This window comes from Homo sapiens, chromosome 19 (genome assembly GCF_000001405.40).
Source record: "Homo sapiens chromosome 19, GRCh38.p14 Primary Assembly".
Taxonomy (NCBI): Eukaryota; Metazoa; Chordata; class Mammalia; order Primates; family Hominidae; genus Homo; species Homo sapiens.
The window spans coordinates 54,815,000-54,831,599 of record NC_000019.10 but is presented as its reverse complement, the minus strand read 5'-3'; the positions used below and the strand labels follow the sequence as shown (position 1 = coordinate 54,831,599).

The window sequence follows — 16,600 nt, the reverse complement described above, 5'->3', positions numbered from 1 at the left end:
CATAGAATGTCTTCTTAATAAATAATATTAAACCAAAGGGTTACACGTAGGAAAAAATAAATCTAAACTTATTCTCACACTATAAAAACACTTCTTACTTTTTATCTAGTTATTGTACATTTTTTATGATTTATATTTAAAATTGAGAAATAAAAGTCATATACGGTCATCCTTTACTATTCGTGGGTGATTGGTTTCAGGATCTCCACTCAGGTACCAAAATCTGCAGATGCTCAAGCCTCTTACATAAAATGACACAGCATTTGGATATAACCCATGCACATCCTCCTGTATACATGAAATCATCTCTTGATTACTTATAATTCCTGATACAGCCTACACACTGCCTCATTTGTGTCCATTCAACATAGTTTTGCATTTTGAAACTTTGTGGACATTTTCTCTGAATATTTTTGATTTACACTTGGTTCAATAAACACCTGTAAACCCCACAGATATGGAGGAGCGACTGTATATTTATAGTATGAAATATGATGTGTTGATATGTGTCCCCGTGGAGATGAGACTAGCAAGGCTTATGACTCTACAAATGTTTCATCGTGGAATGACTCTGCCAGCTTTCCAGGTTGCAGAGAGTAAGAATATCACTTGTTCATGTGATTCACGATCCTTGGAACCTCCTATGTGCTGCATCTTTGGATGGAAATTGGAGTCCCAGAGACAAATGAGGCTCCACCCTGCTTCCAGAAGCTCAGAGTCCAGGGGTGAGAACCCAGCGGAGAACAGATGGGGTTATGTGGACATGGTAATGATAACAGCGGTTTCTTTCAGCGAATACAGTGTCACATTACCTGAAGCAATGAGGGCAGACATGTTTATTTGAAGAGGAGACAGCTACATTGAAATCACAAAAAATTTTATAAGTTTCACTGCTGACAGAAGGCTGGAAAATAGTCCGAAGAAAGGTGAAACAGCATGAGGGAAGGTGGAACAGCACGTGGGTAAGTGCCACGTCAAGAGGGAGCCTCTTGTATGTTTGGAATTGTGAGTTCCTCAGTGTGATTGCAGCCTCAAGTAGACTAGGAAGTAAGCCAGTTAGGTTGGAGAGGTGGGCAGGGGTCAAGTGAAATGGAGAACTGTGGGCTAAGCAAAGGAGTGTGTTTTCTTTCCAGCAGGCAGTGGGGACCTAGACATTTGTAAGCAAGAGAGAGGCACCAGATTTGTGGCGTGAGGAGGAGCGATGCCCTAAGATGAAGACTCACGCCTTCAGATTCCAGCTGCTGGTACATGGGAGCTGGCAACTCGGTTTTGAGACAGGGCTGTTGTCTCCCTAGAAGACGTCCTCAAGGCCTGACTGTGGTGCTCATGGGCAGGAGACAACTTTGGATCTGGGCTTAGCATTTGGAAGTTCCGTGTACAAGATGGTATCTGTAGGGGGTGTCTTGGGCCTCTGAGAAGGGCGAGTGATTTTTCTCTGTGTGAAAACGCAGTGATCCAACTGTGCGTATGTCACCTCCTCAGGGTCTTGTTCATCAGAGTCCTGGAGAGAGGGAAATGCTGAGTGAGGGAGGGAAATGCTGAGTGAGGGAGGGTGCTCACGTTTTCCAGGACTGTTTGGGAATAACACTAGCCACGAGGCTGGGCCGAGGAGCACCTACCTCGCTGTTGGCTGTTCTGTTCCCTGCAGGCTCTTGGTCCATTACAGCAGCATCTGTAGGAGACGGAAGTCAACAAAAGAGCTCGGAGGGCACTTCTGGGTCCTCATTTCATAAGCAGATACCAACAAACAGGGGGAGGCCATAGGTGCCTGAGGTCCCTCAGTTGCCAACAGCAGACTCAGACATTCTATCTCTCTGAGCTCAAGGACCCATCCCATGAATAGCTCTGAGTTCCCATCCCATTGATTCTGTCTCCCACTTTCTGCCTGTCATGGAACCTTCTCCTGGATGTGAGTGGCTGCAGGGGACATGAGGATACAGTTCAGAATCAGGCAACGGTCTGTGAGCTGAAGGCAGGGGCAGGGAGTCTGGTGCTCTCTCTAGAAAGTCCTGCCTCTGTGGCTCCTGTCTTGGGCCAGGGACCATCCTGCCAGTGAGGAACACACAGCTGTGTGCTCCCATCCTGCTTCCCCACATGGCCCTGAGCTCTCTGGCCTGTGCCCCGTGAGACTTACTTTTTTTGTTGGAGCACCAGAGATGAAGGAGAAAGAAGAGGAGGAGGATGAAGAGGATGATGACCACTGAGGTCCCAATCAGAATGTGCAGGTGTCTGGGGTTACCTGGAAGAAGAGGAGACACCAGTAAGAAGCTAATCATAGCAGTTTCTCTATATGAATTGTCTTGCATTTCTTGATTGACAGGTAACCACTTACAGCATCTCTTTCGGACAAGCACCCAGATGGCGGGAGATCTAGCTTCCTCCTGCTTTCTCAGTTATAGCTCTCATAGTAACCATGGAACGTGCTGAGGATACAACTACTTTAGTTGAGATGTTTGACCCCTTCAAACCTCACATTGAAATTTAACCCCCAGTGTGGGAGGTTGGGCCTCTTGGGAGGTGTTTGGGTCATGGAGGTGGATCCATCATGAACAGATCAATGCTGTCCCAAGGAGACGGGGTTAGCAAGTTCCCTCTCTATTAGTTCCTGGAGAGCTGGTTGTTAAAAAGAGCTTGGAAGCTCCATTGCTCCCCCTCCCCCTTGCTCCCTCTCTTGCCGTGTGATCTCTGTGGTCTCTGCACAGACAGACCCTCCTTCCCTTCTGCCAGAGTGGGAGCGGCCTGAGGCCATCATAAGAAATAGATGCTGGTGCCATGCTTCCAGTACAGCCTGCAGAACGGTGAGGCAAACCAATCTCTTCTTTAGAAGTTACCCAGGCTCAAGTGTTCCTTTAGAGCAACAAAAATGGACTAAGACAGCAAAGTCCTGAGATCAGGAGGATTGTCCCAGAACAGCCTGGGCTGTCTTCCTGTTCTTCCTGGAGGAGGACGTCATGCAGTGCTTTAGCTGAGTGCTTCCTGTGGCTCCAGGGTACAAAACCCAGGCTGGGCTGCTTTCTGGCTTCCCCCAGCTACACTGCAAATGGGGTGACTCCACATGTCTCGAGCAGCTTTTCTGAGCCTTGGGGAACTGGCTCACATTGAAATGTAGGCTTCTGTTGTCACTCGCTGCTTATCTGTTAGTAATGAACCTGCCTATGTAACGTATTCTCTGTGTGTTCTGTCTCCCTGGAGTGACGGTGAGTGATAGGAATTGGCATAGGCCCAGGTGCAGTCCAGGAGGTGTTTAGAGTCTTCTCTGGGAAGACTGGACTGGGATTGATACACAGCGAATGTGCTTTAGGATTTCTACATCCACGGCATTCTTGAGTTAAACAACTTGCATTCTCCAAGAAAAGGAAACAAAAGTGAAATCAATATAAAAAAAGCGAAGTAGAATTCTCTTATGTCAAACAGCCAGAAAATAGTGTTGAAGCCCGTGTGAAATGTGCTACTCTTTGTGATCTCGGGAGACACATGTTAGGCTGCTGTTCTACCTCAGAGGCTGGGGGAAGGACCACCCCCTCGACTATCTATTGCTTCAATACCACCTGTCCTCCTGTGAATTAGTAGGAAAGGGGAGCAGGAGCTAGTGCTGGCACTGATCTCTGATTCCAAGATCTGGACTCACTCCAAGGAGTATTAGCATTTACCTCCCCATGATCTATCTGTATTTCCACAGGTGATTGGAAGTAGGGGTGAGATGGGGGATTTGGGTGAGGGGGCAAGTTTTTTTTGTGATGACCAGAGCACTTTCTCTATTCCAGGATTTGTGCTGGAGGATTCAGCGGGCTTTCACATTTTCTATATGATCTCATGCTCACAGAAAGCCAAATACGGAAGAGGTTTTAGGCTGATTGCCTAATGGATAAGATAAAGGATCAAAGAAGTAATTATAGAGAAATAGAAAAATGATGATGGGAATTCAGGTGCCTTTGTCATTCGTGTGTGTTTTATTATATTTATGCATTTCTTATTTTTATTTTTTGAGATGGAGTCTCCTTGTGTCACCCAGGCTGGAGTGCAGTGATGCGATCTCCACTCACTGCAACCTCCACCTCCTGGGTTGAAGTCATTCTCCTGCTTCATCCTCCAGAGCAGGAGCTGGGATTACAGGGATGCACCACCATGCTCGGCTAATTTTTGTATTTTTAGGAGAGATAGGGTTTCACCATGTAGAGATAGGGTTTCTCCATGTTGGCCAGGCTGGTCTCGAACTCCTGACTTCTTGGAATCCACTGGCCTTAGCCTCCTGCAGTGCTGGGTTACAGGAGTGAGCCACCGTTCACAGACTTGTATACTATGCTATAATAGGTCCCTTCATTTCCACCACCCCTCATATATCTGTCACTCCTTTGCCAGGTATTGATTTATGTGTAGGAGGAATAAATCTCAGAAAGAAATTAATTTAGCAAGGATTAAACAACTAGGAAACTCAAACCCAGCAAGCCCTCCCTGCAAATGATTCTACCTCCCAAACATAGCTTATATCCATCTGCTTCATCCACTTAGGGTCTAAATCAGCACCACATTTCACCAGTGGGGCGGCAATTGCCTTTTCCACTGTCTCCTAGATTCCAGTTACGCACCTGGGCCTCCCTTATTTTCATGTCAGTCACTATTAATCATGTAGGGATTCCTGGCTACCCCGAGGTGAATCCAATGGCTGTGAGTGTCAAACACACACTCCTTGTTGCTCCTTAGTTTCCTGTGTACCCAGTGTGCTCTCCGTCTCTCCACAGTCGTCTTGTCATTCTCCCCACCTCATTCCCAGCATTTCAGGCAGAGCCTCTTCCTTCCACATCAGATTGTTTTCAGCTTTCTGCCTTCACGGCTGACAGCTGTGTGTGGAAAATCCTTCCGCCAATCTTTCAGGGGTTCAATCCGTGTTTTTCATTAATGTCACAAATATCTGATTAGTGAGACCTTCTCTGTCACCCAAAATTATACACTCAGCATTATCTATTATTTATTTTGAATTCTGGCTGGGCAAAGTGGCTCACGCCTGTAATCCCAGTACTTTGGGTTGCTGAGATGGTCGGATCACTTGAGGTTGGGAGTTTCAGACAAGCTTGGCCAACATGGTGAAACATCCTCTCTACAAAAAATATACAAAAAGAATTAGCCGGGCATGGTGGCAGTTGCCTGTAATCCCAGCTACTCGAGAGGGTGAGGCAGGAGAATCACTTGGATCCAGGAGACGCAGGTTGCAGTGAGCCAAGATCGTGACACTGCACTGTAGCCTGGAAGACAGAGGGAGACTCTGTCTCAATAAATAAATGAACGAACAAACAAATAGATTTCATGCACAGATGCTTCCCAATGGATCATTCATTTATTGGTCCACTTGTGCACTCATTTTCTGTCCTCCCATTTAACCATCTGCAATATCAGTGTCCCAAGAGCAGAGGCCAAATGCATCTTGTTCACCGTTCGTGGAAGGCAGGAGAATGCTGTCCCACCCCAAAATGTCCCTGTCCTGGCCTCCATAGCTTGTGAATATCTTATTTTACATGGAAAGAAGGAATGAAGATTGCAGATGGAATTACGGTTGCTAGTCAGCTGAACTTAAAACAAGGGTATCCTGAATGATTTCCGGGAGATTATGATGGATTTTCATCTTGGTGAACCCAATAGAATCCCCAAGTTTTCAAAAGATAAGGAAGAAGGGAGAGCAGCATTCAGAGAAAGAGGTGTGGTAAGGAAGAAGGGTCTGAGTGATGCCATGTGAGATGTGACCAGTCTTTGTGGGCTTTGAGGAAGGAGGAAGGGGACCAGGAGCCAAGGAACTGGGAGCCTTTAGAAGCTGGGACAAGTGAGAAGCAGATTCTTGCCTGGAATCCTCAGAGGGAAGGCAGCCTTGCTGTCACCTTGATTTTAGCCCAGTAAGATGCACTTCCTACTTTGAGCTACAGCACTGTAAGATAATTAAAAAACCGTTTTGTTTTCACCCACGAATCTTGTGGAAATTTGTTATGGCAACAATAGGAAAGGATTCCAACTGCACAGCCTGAGCATGGGGCCGTGGCTGAATGAGTCAGTGAGTCGAAGTGTGCGTGCATGAGCTCTGTTCTCTGTTACGGCAAGGCTCTTGCTCTGCTGAGTCAGCCAGGGTTGCTTCATGACCAACAGTAATTCATTCCTTGGCAAGTGGAACTTCTCTAAAACACCTCGCCCTCATCAGATGTTCCCTTCCCTTCCCTCTCTCAAGTCCCCAGGAATTTATCCTCCAGTTAGGAATGCAGGAAGAAAAAACACTGCATGTTTCCTGAGAAGGATGTCAGATTGGCAATCATTCTTCTAGCTTGTAGGAGGTCTCACCTGCAGGACATTAAAGGTTAAGAGACTTCGCTGAGCCCTTTGGTGGCCCTAGATCCCTTTCACTGTTGGAGTGTCTGGAGTTCAGAGATGGTGGAAGACAGGCCCTCATTCACAGAGCTGGGAGGTTTGAGCCAACACTTGCATCCAAGGCTTCCACCTCCCCAGGTTTCCAAAAGCAGAGATAAGAGGGGTCCTTTACTCACCAGATTTGGAGCTTGGTTCTGTGGGTGAAGGCCAACTACTTGAAGGGTTTCCTAGAACATGGGACAGGAGAGATGTGAGGAAATGAGGGTGCTTGTCCTCTACTCAATGGAAATCTTTGAGGTTGGTTCATGGCCAACACTCTGTTATCTAATGTTGGACCCTGGGAGTCTTGGGATCCTCTTCTCCATAATTTTTGTGTGCGATGCCCACTGTCTTGAGACTTGAAGGTATAAAGAGAAAACAGGAGCATCACACTACCTGACTTAGAAATATGTTACAGAGCTGTAGTAAGCAAAACAGCATGACATTGGCATAAAGAAAGGCACATAAAAAATGAAACAGAATGGAGAACACAGATATAATCCATGCATTTACATCCAATGGCTTTTTTTGTGTGTGTGTGTGATAGAATCTTGCTCTGTCATGCAGGCTGGAGTGCAGAGGTGCAATCTCAGCTCAATGCAACCTCCACTTCCTGGATTCAAGCAATTCTCTTGCCTCAAACACCCGAGTAGTGGTATTACAGGCACTGGTCACCATGCTCAGCTAATTTTTGTATTTTTAGTAGAGACGAGGTTTCACTCTGTTGGCCAGCCTGGTCTTGAACTCCTGGCTTCAGGTGATCCACCCGCCTCGGCCTCCCAAAGTGCTGGAATTGCAGGTGTGAGCCACCATACCCAGCCCATTTAATGGACTTTGACAAAGGTGCCGAGAACTTACAATCAGGAAAGGACAGTCTTTTCAATAAATGGTGTGGGGAAAACTGGATATCTACATGCAGAGGAATAAAACTGCATCTATACCTGTCACCATACACAAAAATCAAATGAAAATGGATTAAAAACATGAGTCTAAGGCCTGAACCTATGAAACATGTAGAAGAAAATAATGGGGAAGACATTTGTCTGACGAAAGACATTTTGTTTAAAACCTTCAAAACACAAGTAATCAAAGCAAAAAATAGACCATTAGGATTACATCAAACCAAGCAACTTCTGCACCACAAAAGATAAACCAAGAAAGTGAAGAGACAACCGACAAAATAGGAGCAAATATTTGCAAACTATTCATCTGAGACGGGATTAATAACTGGAAATATAAGAAGCTCAAACAACTCAATAAAACAATTTAATTAAAAAACGAGCAAAAGACATGAGGAGACATTTCTCCACAAACAAAACATAGAAATGGCGATCACGTATATGAAAAAGTACTCGGCATCACTCATCATCAGAGAAATGTAAATTACAATCGCGATGAGTTTTCATCTCATCCCATTAAAATGCCTTTTAGGCCGGTGGCTCACGCCTGTAATTCCGGCACTTCAGGAGGCGGAGGTGGGCGGATCACCTGAGGTCGGGAGACCAGCCTGACCATCATGGAGAAACTCCCTCTCTACTAAACATACAAAAATTAGCTAGGCGTGGTGGCACATGCCTGTAATCCCAGCTACTTTGGAGGCTGAGGCAGGAGAATCAGTTGAACGCGGGAGGCGGAGGTTGCAGTGAGCTGAGATCACACCCTTGCACTCCAGCCTGGGAGACTATGAGTGAAACTCCATCTCAACATAAATAAATAAATAAAATAAAGTAAAGTAAAATGGCTTTTACTGCAAGACAGGCAAAACAAATGCTGGCAAGATGGTAGAGAAAGGAGAACCCTGGTACCCTGTTGGTAGGAATGTAAATTAGTACAACTATTATGGAGAAAAGTATGGAAATTCTTTAAAAAACTAAAAGGAGGCTGGGCATAGTGGCTTATGCCTGTAACTTCAGCACTTTGGGAAACCGAGGCAGGCACCTCACTTGAGGTCAGGAGTTTGAGAGCAGCCTGCCCAAAATTGGGATATCCCGTCTGTGCTAAAAAAATACAAAAATTAGCCAGGCATGGTGGCGTGCACCTGTAATCACAGCTACTAGGGAGGCTGAGTCAGGACAATCATTTGAACCTAGGAGGCACAGGTTGCAATGAGCCAAGATCTCACCACTTAGACTCCAGCTTGGACTAAGGAGGGAAACTCTTTCTCAAAAAAGAAAAAAAAAAAAAGAGAACTTTCATAGTGTCCAGCAATTTCACTACTGGGTTTATATCCAAAGGAAAGGACATCAGTGTATCGAAGTGATATCTGCACTCATATGACTGTTCCAGCACTGTTCACAGTAGCCAAGATGTGGAGTCAACCTACCTGCCCATCAGTGGGTGAATGGATAGAGAACTGTGGTACACACACACAGTGGAGACTACTCATCCATAGAAACAATAACATCCTGTCATTTGCAGCCACATGGATGGAACTGGAGGTCATTACAAAGATTCCCATTTCTCACCCACATGCAGGAGATAAAAGGTGGATCTCATGAAGGTGGAGAATACAATGGTGGACACCAGAGGCCAGGAAGGGAAGGGTGGAGGGTAACAAAAAAAAGAATATAGATGTATTTATTTATTTAGAAACAGAGTCTCTCTCTGTCTCCCAGGCTGCAGTGCAGTGGCATGATCTCGGCTCAGTGCAACCTCTGCCTCCTGGGTTTAAGTGCTTCTCCTGCCTCAGCCTCCCAAGTAGCTAGGACTACAGGTGCATGCCAGCATGCTCGGCTAATTTTTCTTGTCTGTTTAGTAAAGATGAATTTCCCACATGTTGGCCAGGGTGATCTCGAGTTCCTGATCTTAAATGATCCACCTTCCTTGGCCTCTCAAAGCGCCGAGATTACAACCGTGAACCACCACACCCAGCATATAAAGGTATTTATGACCACTAGATTTTACTTTTAAAAATGGTAAAGGTGGTAAATTATATAGTTACATTTAACCTCAATAAATATTTTTGAAAATGAAAAGAAAAGGGTGTAGGGGTTGCTGGTGATGATATCTCTCTGTGTGGGTGAGAGGCCATGATGGGCTTCTGGGAAATGGATAAGATTGAGGGGCTGAGGGAACCTCTGATCTCCCCAAACTAAGCCCAGTCTCCCCTTCTCTGGGTCTGTCCTGACCGCTTTCTCCATCTGCCTGGGTGCCTGGAGCCCTGATCGGAGGCCTCCATGCAGGCCATGAAGGAGGGTTTGGAGGTGCCCTGTCTGCCATCCTGCGCCCTGACTCCGCCCTCACACCTGCTGTGTCTTCTCTCTGCATCTGTCCATGCTTTTCTCCATCATCAGCAGGAAGCTCCTTAGCTAAGGATTTAGGATCATAGGACATGAGAGAGATATGGGCTTTTCTCACCTGTGACAGAAACAAGCAGTGGGTCACTCGGGTCTGACCACTCGTAGGGAGAGTGACGGAAAGAGCCGAAGCATCTGTAGGTCCCTCCGTGGGTGGCAGGGCCCAGAGGGAAATCTGCCTGGAATGTTCTGTTGACCTTGCGCACTGCAGGGAGCCTACGTTCATGGGCTCCCCCCTCCCTGGATAGATGGTACATGTCATAGGAGCTCCGGGAGCTACAGGACAAGGTCACGCTCTCTCCTGCCTGAACCTTGGGGCCCGGCTGGGCTGAGAGAGAAGGTTTCTCATATGGACCTGGAAGGAGAAGAGGCAGTTTCCTCAGGGAGGTTCTTCCTTGTCATAGCTCCCCTCATACCTGAGCTGAGAACTCACTCCCCTGCTCTATGACCTAATGCTCTCTCTCTCTCTCTCACCCTCCACCCCATCTCTCTTCATATCTGTTTCCTCCTTCTACCTTTTCTGTCTCTCTAGGTCTATGACCTCACTTCCCCACCCTGAGGTATGTTTTCCCTTTTTGGATTGTTTTATTCTCTCTGACCCTCCTTGGATTGGTTGACTTGATCTTCCTTTTTCTTTAATTTTGAGTCTCTCACTTTCTGTCTTGTTCATAACTTTCTGCACATTTCTATCTATTTATCTATTTTGTGTCTATCTACAAATTATCTATCATCTATATTTATGTATCACTTATCTATCTCTCTATCAATTGTCTGTCTGTCTATCTATCCATCAATCATCTATTATCTATATATGTATCATCTATCTCTCTCTCTATTACCTCTCTGTCTGCCTCTCTGTCTCTATTTATGTATCATCTATGTATATATCTATGTGTCTATCATCATCATCGTCATCTCTATGTATCATCTATCAGTCATCATCTATGTATCTATAACCAATCCATTATCTATCATCTACCTATTTATCATCTATCTACGTCTATCTATCCATCTATCATCTCTCTCTCTCCGTCTCCTTGTCTTTCTCTGCCTCTCAGTCTCTCTAGTTCTATTTGGAATCTCTGCAATCCATCCCCACATATTTATCTTTCTCTGTCTTTGTGTCCCTCCCTCAGGGTTCTGATTTTGGGGCTTTTCTCTCCTCCTTTCCATCATTCTCTCCATTCTGCCCTCTTTTCTTTCTTTTTATGTGTCTGTGAATCTCTTAATCTCCTTCTTCTGGCTCATTTTGTGTGTGTTTATGTCTTTGCTTTTTGGTGTCCCTGATTTTTCTCTGTGTCTCTCAGCGATCCTATCATATGTGGGATTATTTGGAATATGAGCCTCAGAATCCAGTCTGGGGACCCCAAGTTCACACAGCATACAGGGGTTGGTGTTCAGGGGCCATGATATCCTGGGATGATTACTCTCCATTGCATGGAAGGCAGAGGTGTCAGAATAAACACGGCATCTGTAGGTGGCACAAGGCCTGAGGCCACAGGGCCCAACTCAGGTCAGAAATATGGGTGTCCTTGGGTTCTTCTGGTAGGAACACTTTGTGGAGGTAAAACAGAAATGAAACTTCTAACCTGTGCCAGGTCTCTGAGCAAAGTCAGCATGGAAGGACACCTCTCTCTGGGACATGTCTGTCTGTCTGAGTGTCTCCTTTACCTCTTTCTCTCTTTTCTACCTCCCTGTATGGCCCCTGTGTCTGTCCTCTGTTATGACACCTGTTCTGTACTTATGTCTCCTGTTTCTCTGTCTCTGTTGGTACAGACCTCACCAAGTCACTCTCTTTCCATAAGAATCCCACACTTATCTTCCTCATGACCACCTGGGGGTTCCAAGTCCTGGATCATTCACTCTGTGTCCCAGTGACAATGAGAACAATGTCTAGACACTCTCACCTGTGACCACGATGTCCAGGGGATCACTGGGAGCTGACAACTGATAGGGGGTGTGAGTAACAGAACCGTAGCATCTGTAGGTCCCTGCAAGGGCAAGCATCATGGGACCGATGGAGAAATTGGCCTTGGAGACCCCATCATGGATCTGTCCAACGAGGCGTGAGGGGTCCTTAGAGATCCCCTCTTTGTGCAGAAAGAAGTGCTCAAACATGATATCTGACCAACATTGCAGGATGACTCTCTCTCCTGATTTCACCAGGGGACCTGGGTGGGCCAGGAGGGAAGGTTTTCTGTGGTTTCCTAGAAAGAGAAGTTGTGAGTTTAGAAGGCATCTCTCTTTATCATCCCATCCATGGCACCTGGAATGAGTGAGGGTTCCCCTCCCCGTGTCTGTCTCTCTCCTCCCTCTCTGCATCTCCGTGTCTTTTCTGTGCCCATATCCCCTGGTGCAGGTGCCTCCATCTGTCTTCCTCCCTCTTCTCTGTCCCTCTGTCTCCAGTAGCCCCTGACTCCCTTGCCACTGTGAAGACAGCCTCATCTCTTGGGCTGTTGTATCTGTTTCCCACTAATCTCTTTCCTGCTGTCTATGTGGGGGTGGAAGAGGACAGGCTGCATGTCCAGGCTCTTAGCAGCCTGAATCAATCTCTTTTGAACAAATCCCCAGTTCAAGTGATTCTCTTGCCTCAGCCTCCCCAGTCGTTGGATTACTCGTGCCCACCACCACATCTGGCTATCCTTGTTTGGTTTCCTAACTTGTCCTTGACCTGGGTTCCTGTGTTGGTTTCCTGTTGCTGCTGCAGAAAATTACCACAAACATGGCAGCGGGAGAGAACACACTGACCCCTTCCACTTCTGGAGACAGAAATTGGATCCAGTTCTCCCTGTGCTGAAATCAAGGTGTCTACAGGGCTGCGTTCCCTCTGGAGAATCAGCGAATCAGTTCTCTTGACTTCTCCAGCCCTTAGAGGCCACCTGCATTCTGTGACTAGTGGTCTTCCTCCACCTTCAAAGCCCGCAGTGGCTGATAGCGTCTCCCTCCCACTACACTGCTCTAATCCCCACTCCCCTCTTCCTCCACCTCTCATGTGGACCCTTGTGATTACACTGAGCCCAGTGGGACAGTCCAGGCTGTCTCCCCATCTCAAGGTCAACTCATCAACAACCTGAGCTCCACCTTCCCCTTCAGTCCCCTGCCCTGTAACATAAATAGTCACAGGCTCCAGGGATTACAATGTAGCCATCATTGGGGACAGTGATTCTTCCCACCACAGCACCCATTTCCCCTGTATTCAATCTCCCTTGACCCCAAATACAGTCAGGGCCTGGGTGATGGGACCCTGACGGACACCCCCACCAGAAGCTCTGGGATTCAGGAGGTGGGACAGTGAGAAGCCCAGACGGAAAGCCTCTGACCTGTGACCATGATCACCACGGGGTTGCTGGGTGCCGACCACCCAGTGGGGGAGTGTGGGTGTGAACCCCGACATGTGTAGTTCCCTGCATGTGCTGTGGTCACAGGGCTCATGTTGAAGCTCTCCTGGAATATTCTGCCATGGAAGATGGGAATGTGGATTCTGTCTTCTTTGTATAGCATGAAATTGTTAAACCTATGACGATAGTGACACCGAAGAGTCACGTGTCCTCCTCGAGGCACCACAGCGCTGGGCCAGGCAGACAGGAAGGGTTTGTCCTGACCACCTGGGGGAGAAGGAGGCACTGCCTTAGAGAGGAGGATGTGGAGCCGCCCCTCACTCCCAGTGCCCAGAAGATTCTCCCCATTTCCACTTTCTAAGGCTCCTACCACACCTGGGTGCCCAGGGCTACAGGAAGGACCCATCCTGCATAGACTTGGCGTCTCCCTACAACAAGTGTCAGCTGAGAACTTTGAGCAAGTTGCTGGAGAAGCAACTCTTACTAGATTTTAATACTGCAAAATTACTCATATAAAACAACACAAAGTAGACACGGCATGGAGGGCAAGTCCTATGTGAATGGAATATCAGCCAATTGATGAACTGAGCCCCCATCAGAGGATTTGGAATGTCAGGGCCATGGCTGTGGTTTCCTCACCTTTTCTGGTAGAAAGACCGCAGCCACACTGCAGCCCCTACCATCACGGAAACGCTGGAGGGTGTGAGTTACACCTTTGTCCTCAGAGGACCTGCTGTTCCTAGCACTGCTTCCCTCTCTTTCTCTGCTGCTGACACCACTTCCTCCCTGCACACCCATCTTGGAGCACCCTAGTCTCACCCCAGTCTTCACAGAGCTTGACTCAGGAAAGGGAATGAAAGGCCGGGGAAGGCAAGGTCAGAAATGTGGGCCGAGCATCCGAGGGTCCCCTCTTCCTAGTGTATGAGAGACTCCCCGACAGGACTTCCCTCCCATTTCAGGAAAATCCTCTTATGTGGGGAGATGACACCCTAAGGTTTGGGGAAGGACTCACCCATGTGTGGACCGGCCCTCTGGACCAAGAACAACCCTAGAAAGAAAGATCATGATGGACCATCCCTCTGCAGGCAAACCAGGGCACCCTGCTGCCCCCACTGGGCTGTGCGTCTTGGCAGCCAGGCCCTTGCTGGGCTGAAGGTAAACTCACCCTCGCTGCCTACCTGCCCCCAGGAACAAGGATCTCGGCTGTGCAGAGACTGAGCCTCCAGGCCCAGATCTCTACCTCCAGGCCTAGATCTACACAACAGGCCCAGATCTCCACTCCAGGTCCGTATCTCCACTCCAGGCCCATATCTCCTCTCCAGGCTGGTAAGTCCACTCCAGGCCCATATCTCCACTCCAGGCTCCTATCTCAACTCCAGGCTCATATATCCACTCCAGGCTCATATCTCCACTCCAGGCCCATATTTCCACTCCAGGCTTCTATCTCCTCTCCAGGCCCATATCTCCTTTCCAGGCTTGTATGTCTGCTCCAGGCCCGTATCTCCACCCCAGGCCCATATCTCCACTCCAGGATCATATCTCCACTCCAGGCCCAGATCTCCACTTCATGCCCTTAACTCCACCTCCGGGCCCATAACTCCACCTCTAGGCCCATATCTCCACTCCAGGCCCATATCTCCACTTCAGGCCCATATCTCTACTGCAGGCCCATAACTCCACCTCCAGGCCCATATCTCCACTCCAGGCCCATCGCTCCACTTCTAGGCCCATCACTCCACCTCTAGGCCCACATCTCCCCTCCAGGCCCATATCTCCCCTCCAGGCCCATCTCTCCACCCCAGGCACATATCTCCACCCCAGGCCCATATCTCCACTCCAGGCCCAGATCTCCACTCCAGGCACATATCTCCACCCCAGGCCCCTATCTCCACTCCAGGCCCAGATCTCCACTCCAGGCCCAGATCTCCACTTCAGGCCCATAACTCCACCTCTAGGCCCATAACTCCACCTCTAGGCCCATATCTTTACCTCCAGGTCCAGATCTCCATCCCCGCACTCCCTCCCTCGATTCCCTTCCAGGACTCACCAACACACGCCATGCTGACGACCATGAGCGACATGGTGCTGCCGGTGCAGACAGGCGGCTGCGCCCCAGCTCAGCTCAGCAGCGCACAGGATGTTATTTGGCGCCCTGCCCATGCAGTTTACATGTTGACCACATCATGGGAGGGTGACGTACGCAGGCTCTTTCTACCTTGCATGAGGCCCAGTGGGTGCTCGCTCAAGAGCGGAACATGGCTTCCTGGAAATTGCTCTCACTAGAATTGACACCTCGCGTCCTTCACTATGACCAACTCAAAACACGTCTCAGATCCAACCTCCCGAACACGAGATGCCTAAAATCTGTGCTAACATGAAAGACTTTTCATGTATTTTTATTGTTTTTATCTGAGATTCAAACTCTTCTTCCTGTGTAATATGCAAAATATCTAATAGGTATTATTAAGGTTTTCAGAGCAATTGTGACAATAAACCATTAGAATTTTTCATGATTGTATTTCTAGTATTACAGCAGAACCAGTTCAAATGATTTAAACTCCCAGGGAAGGATTATGCAATTATTTACAATCTTAGAATTGTACTTTATCAGCAAAAATCACAACATGTAAATTCTGGATTTTTGTAGATTTATCTAGAATTTGTCTCATGTCCCAAGATTCCAGAGTTCCAACTCATGGTTTGCTCTCTCTCTGTCTCTCTGCCTCCCTCATTTTAAATTTTACAGAAATATCCAGTAACATAATGCTATAGAAAATCAATTTCCCCAGCACTTTGGAAGCCGAGGTGAGTGATCAACCGAGGTCAGGAGTTTGAGACCAGCCTGGCCAATATAGTGAAACCATGTCTCTGCTAAAAATACAAAAATTAGCCATGCCTGGTAGCAGGCACTTGTAATGCCAGCTATTCAAGAGGCTGAGGCACGGAATCCCTTGAACCTGGGAGGCGGAAGTTGCAGTGAGCCGAGATCGTGCCACTGCACTCCAGCCTGGGCAACAGAGCGAGACTCTGCCTCAAGAAAAATAAAAAAAGCATAGCAAATAGCCTATAATAAATAACTAGAGGACTCCAGCTACCAAATTTTAGGGGTTGTATAAGGCTGCATAAAATGCAGCATTCTCAAGAGAGTGGACAGAGAGAGAGCCACTGAGCAGAAAACAGTGTCTAAAATACATCCGTGTACACACAGTCCCTTTATAGTTGACAAAGGCTGCCATGTGGTTTAAGGTGGAATAGAATGTCTTCTCAATAAATAACATGGGCCCAAGGGTTACACATAGAGAAAAATATATCTAAACGTATTCTCACACTATAAAACACTTGTTTATTTTATCTTGTTATTGTAATTTTTTTATGTTTTATATTTAAAATTGAGAAATAAAAATTATATACAGTCATCCCTCACTATTCGTGGGTGATTGGTTTCAGGATCTCCACTCAGATAGCACAATCTGCAGACGCTCAAGCCTCTTACATGAAATGGCACAGCATTTGCAAATAACCCATGCACATCCTCCTGTGTACATGAAATCATCCCTTGATTATTTATAATTCCTGATACAG

The 16,600-nt window shown here is 47.2% G+C and overlaps 1 protein-coding gene across 1 annotated transcript; it reads right to left on the bottom strand.

Annotated features, from left to right (window-relative positions):
* On the bottom strand, window positions 822-15,132 carry KIR3DL1 (killer cell immunoglobulin like receptor, three Ig domains and long cytoplasmic tail 1). Its single transcript, NM_013289.4, has 9 exons — window positions 15,066-15,132; window positions 14,031-14,066; window positions 13,001-13,285; window positions 11,588-11,887; window positions 9,742-10,035; window positions 6,522-6,572; window positions 2,135-2,239; window positions 1,620-1,672; window positions 822-1,501 (listed from the first exon to the last, which is right to left on the bottom strand). Exons 1-9 carry the CDS (start codon window positions 15,097-15,099, stop codon window positions 1,325-1,327), a joined length of 1,335 nt encoding a protein of 444 aa, NP_037421.2. The 5' UTR covers window positions 15,100-15,132; the 3' UTR covers window positions 822-1,324.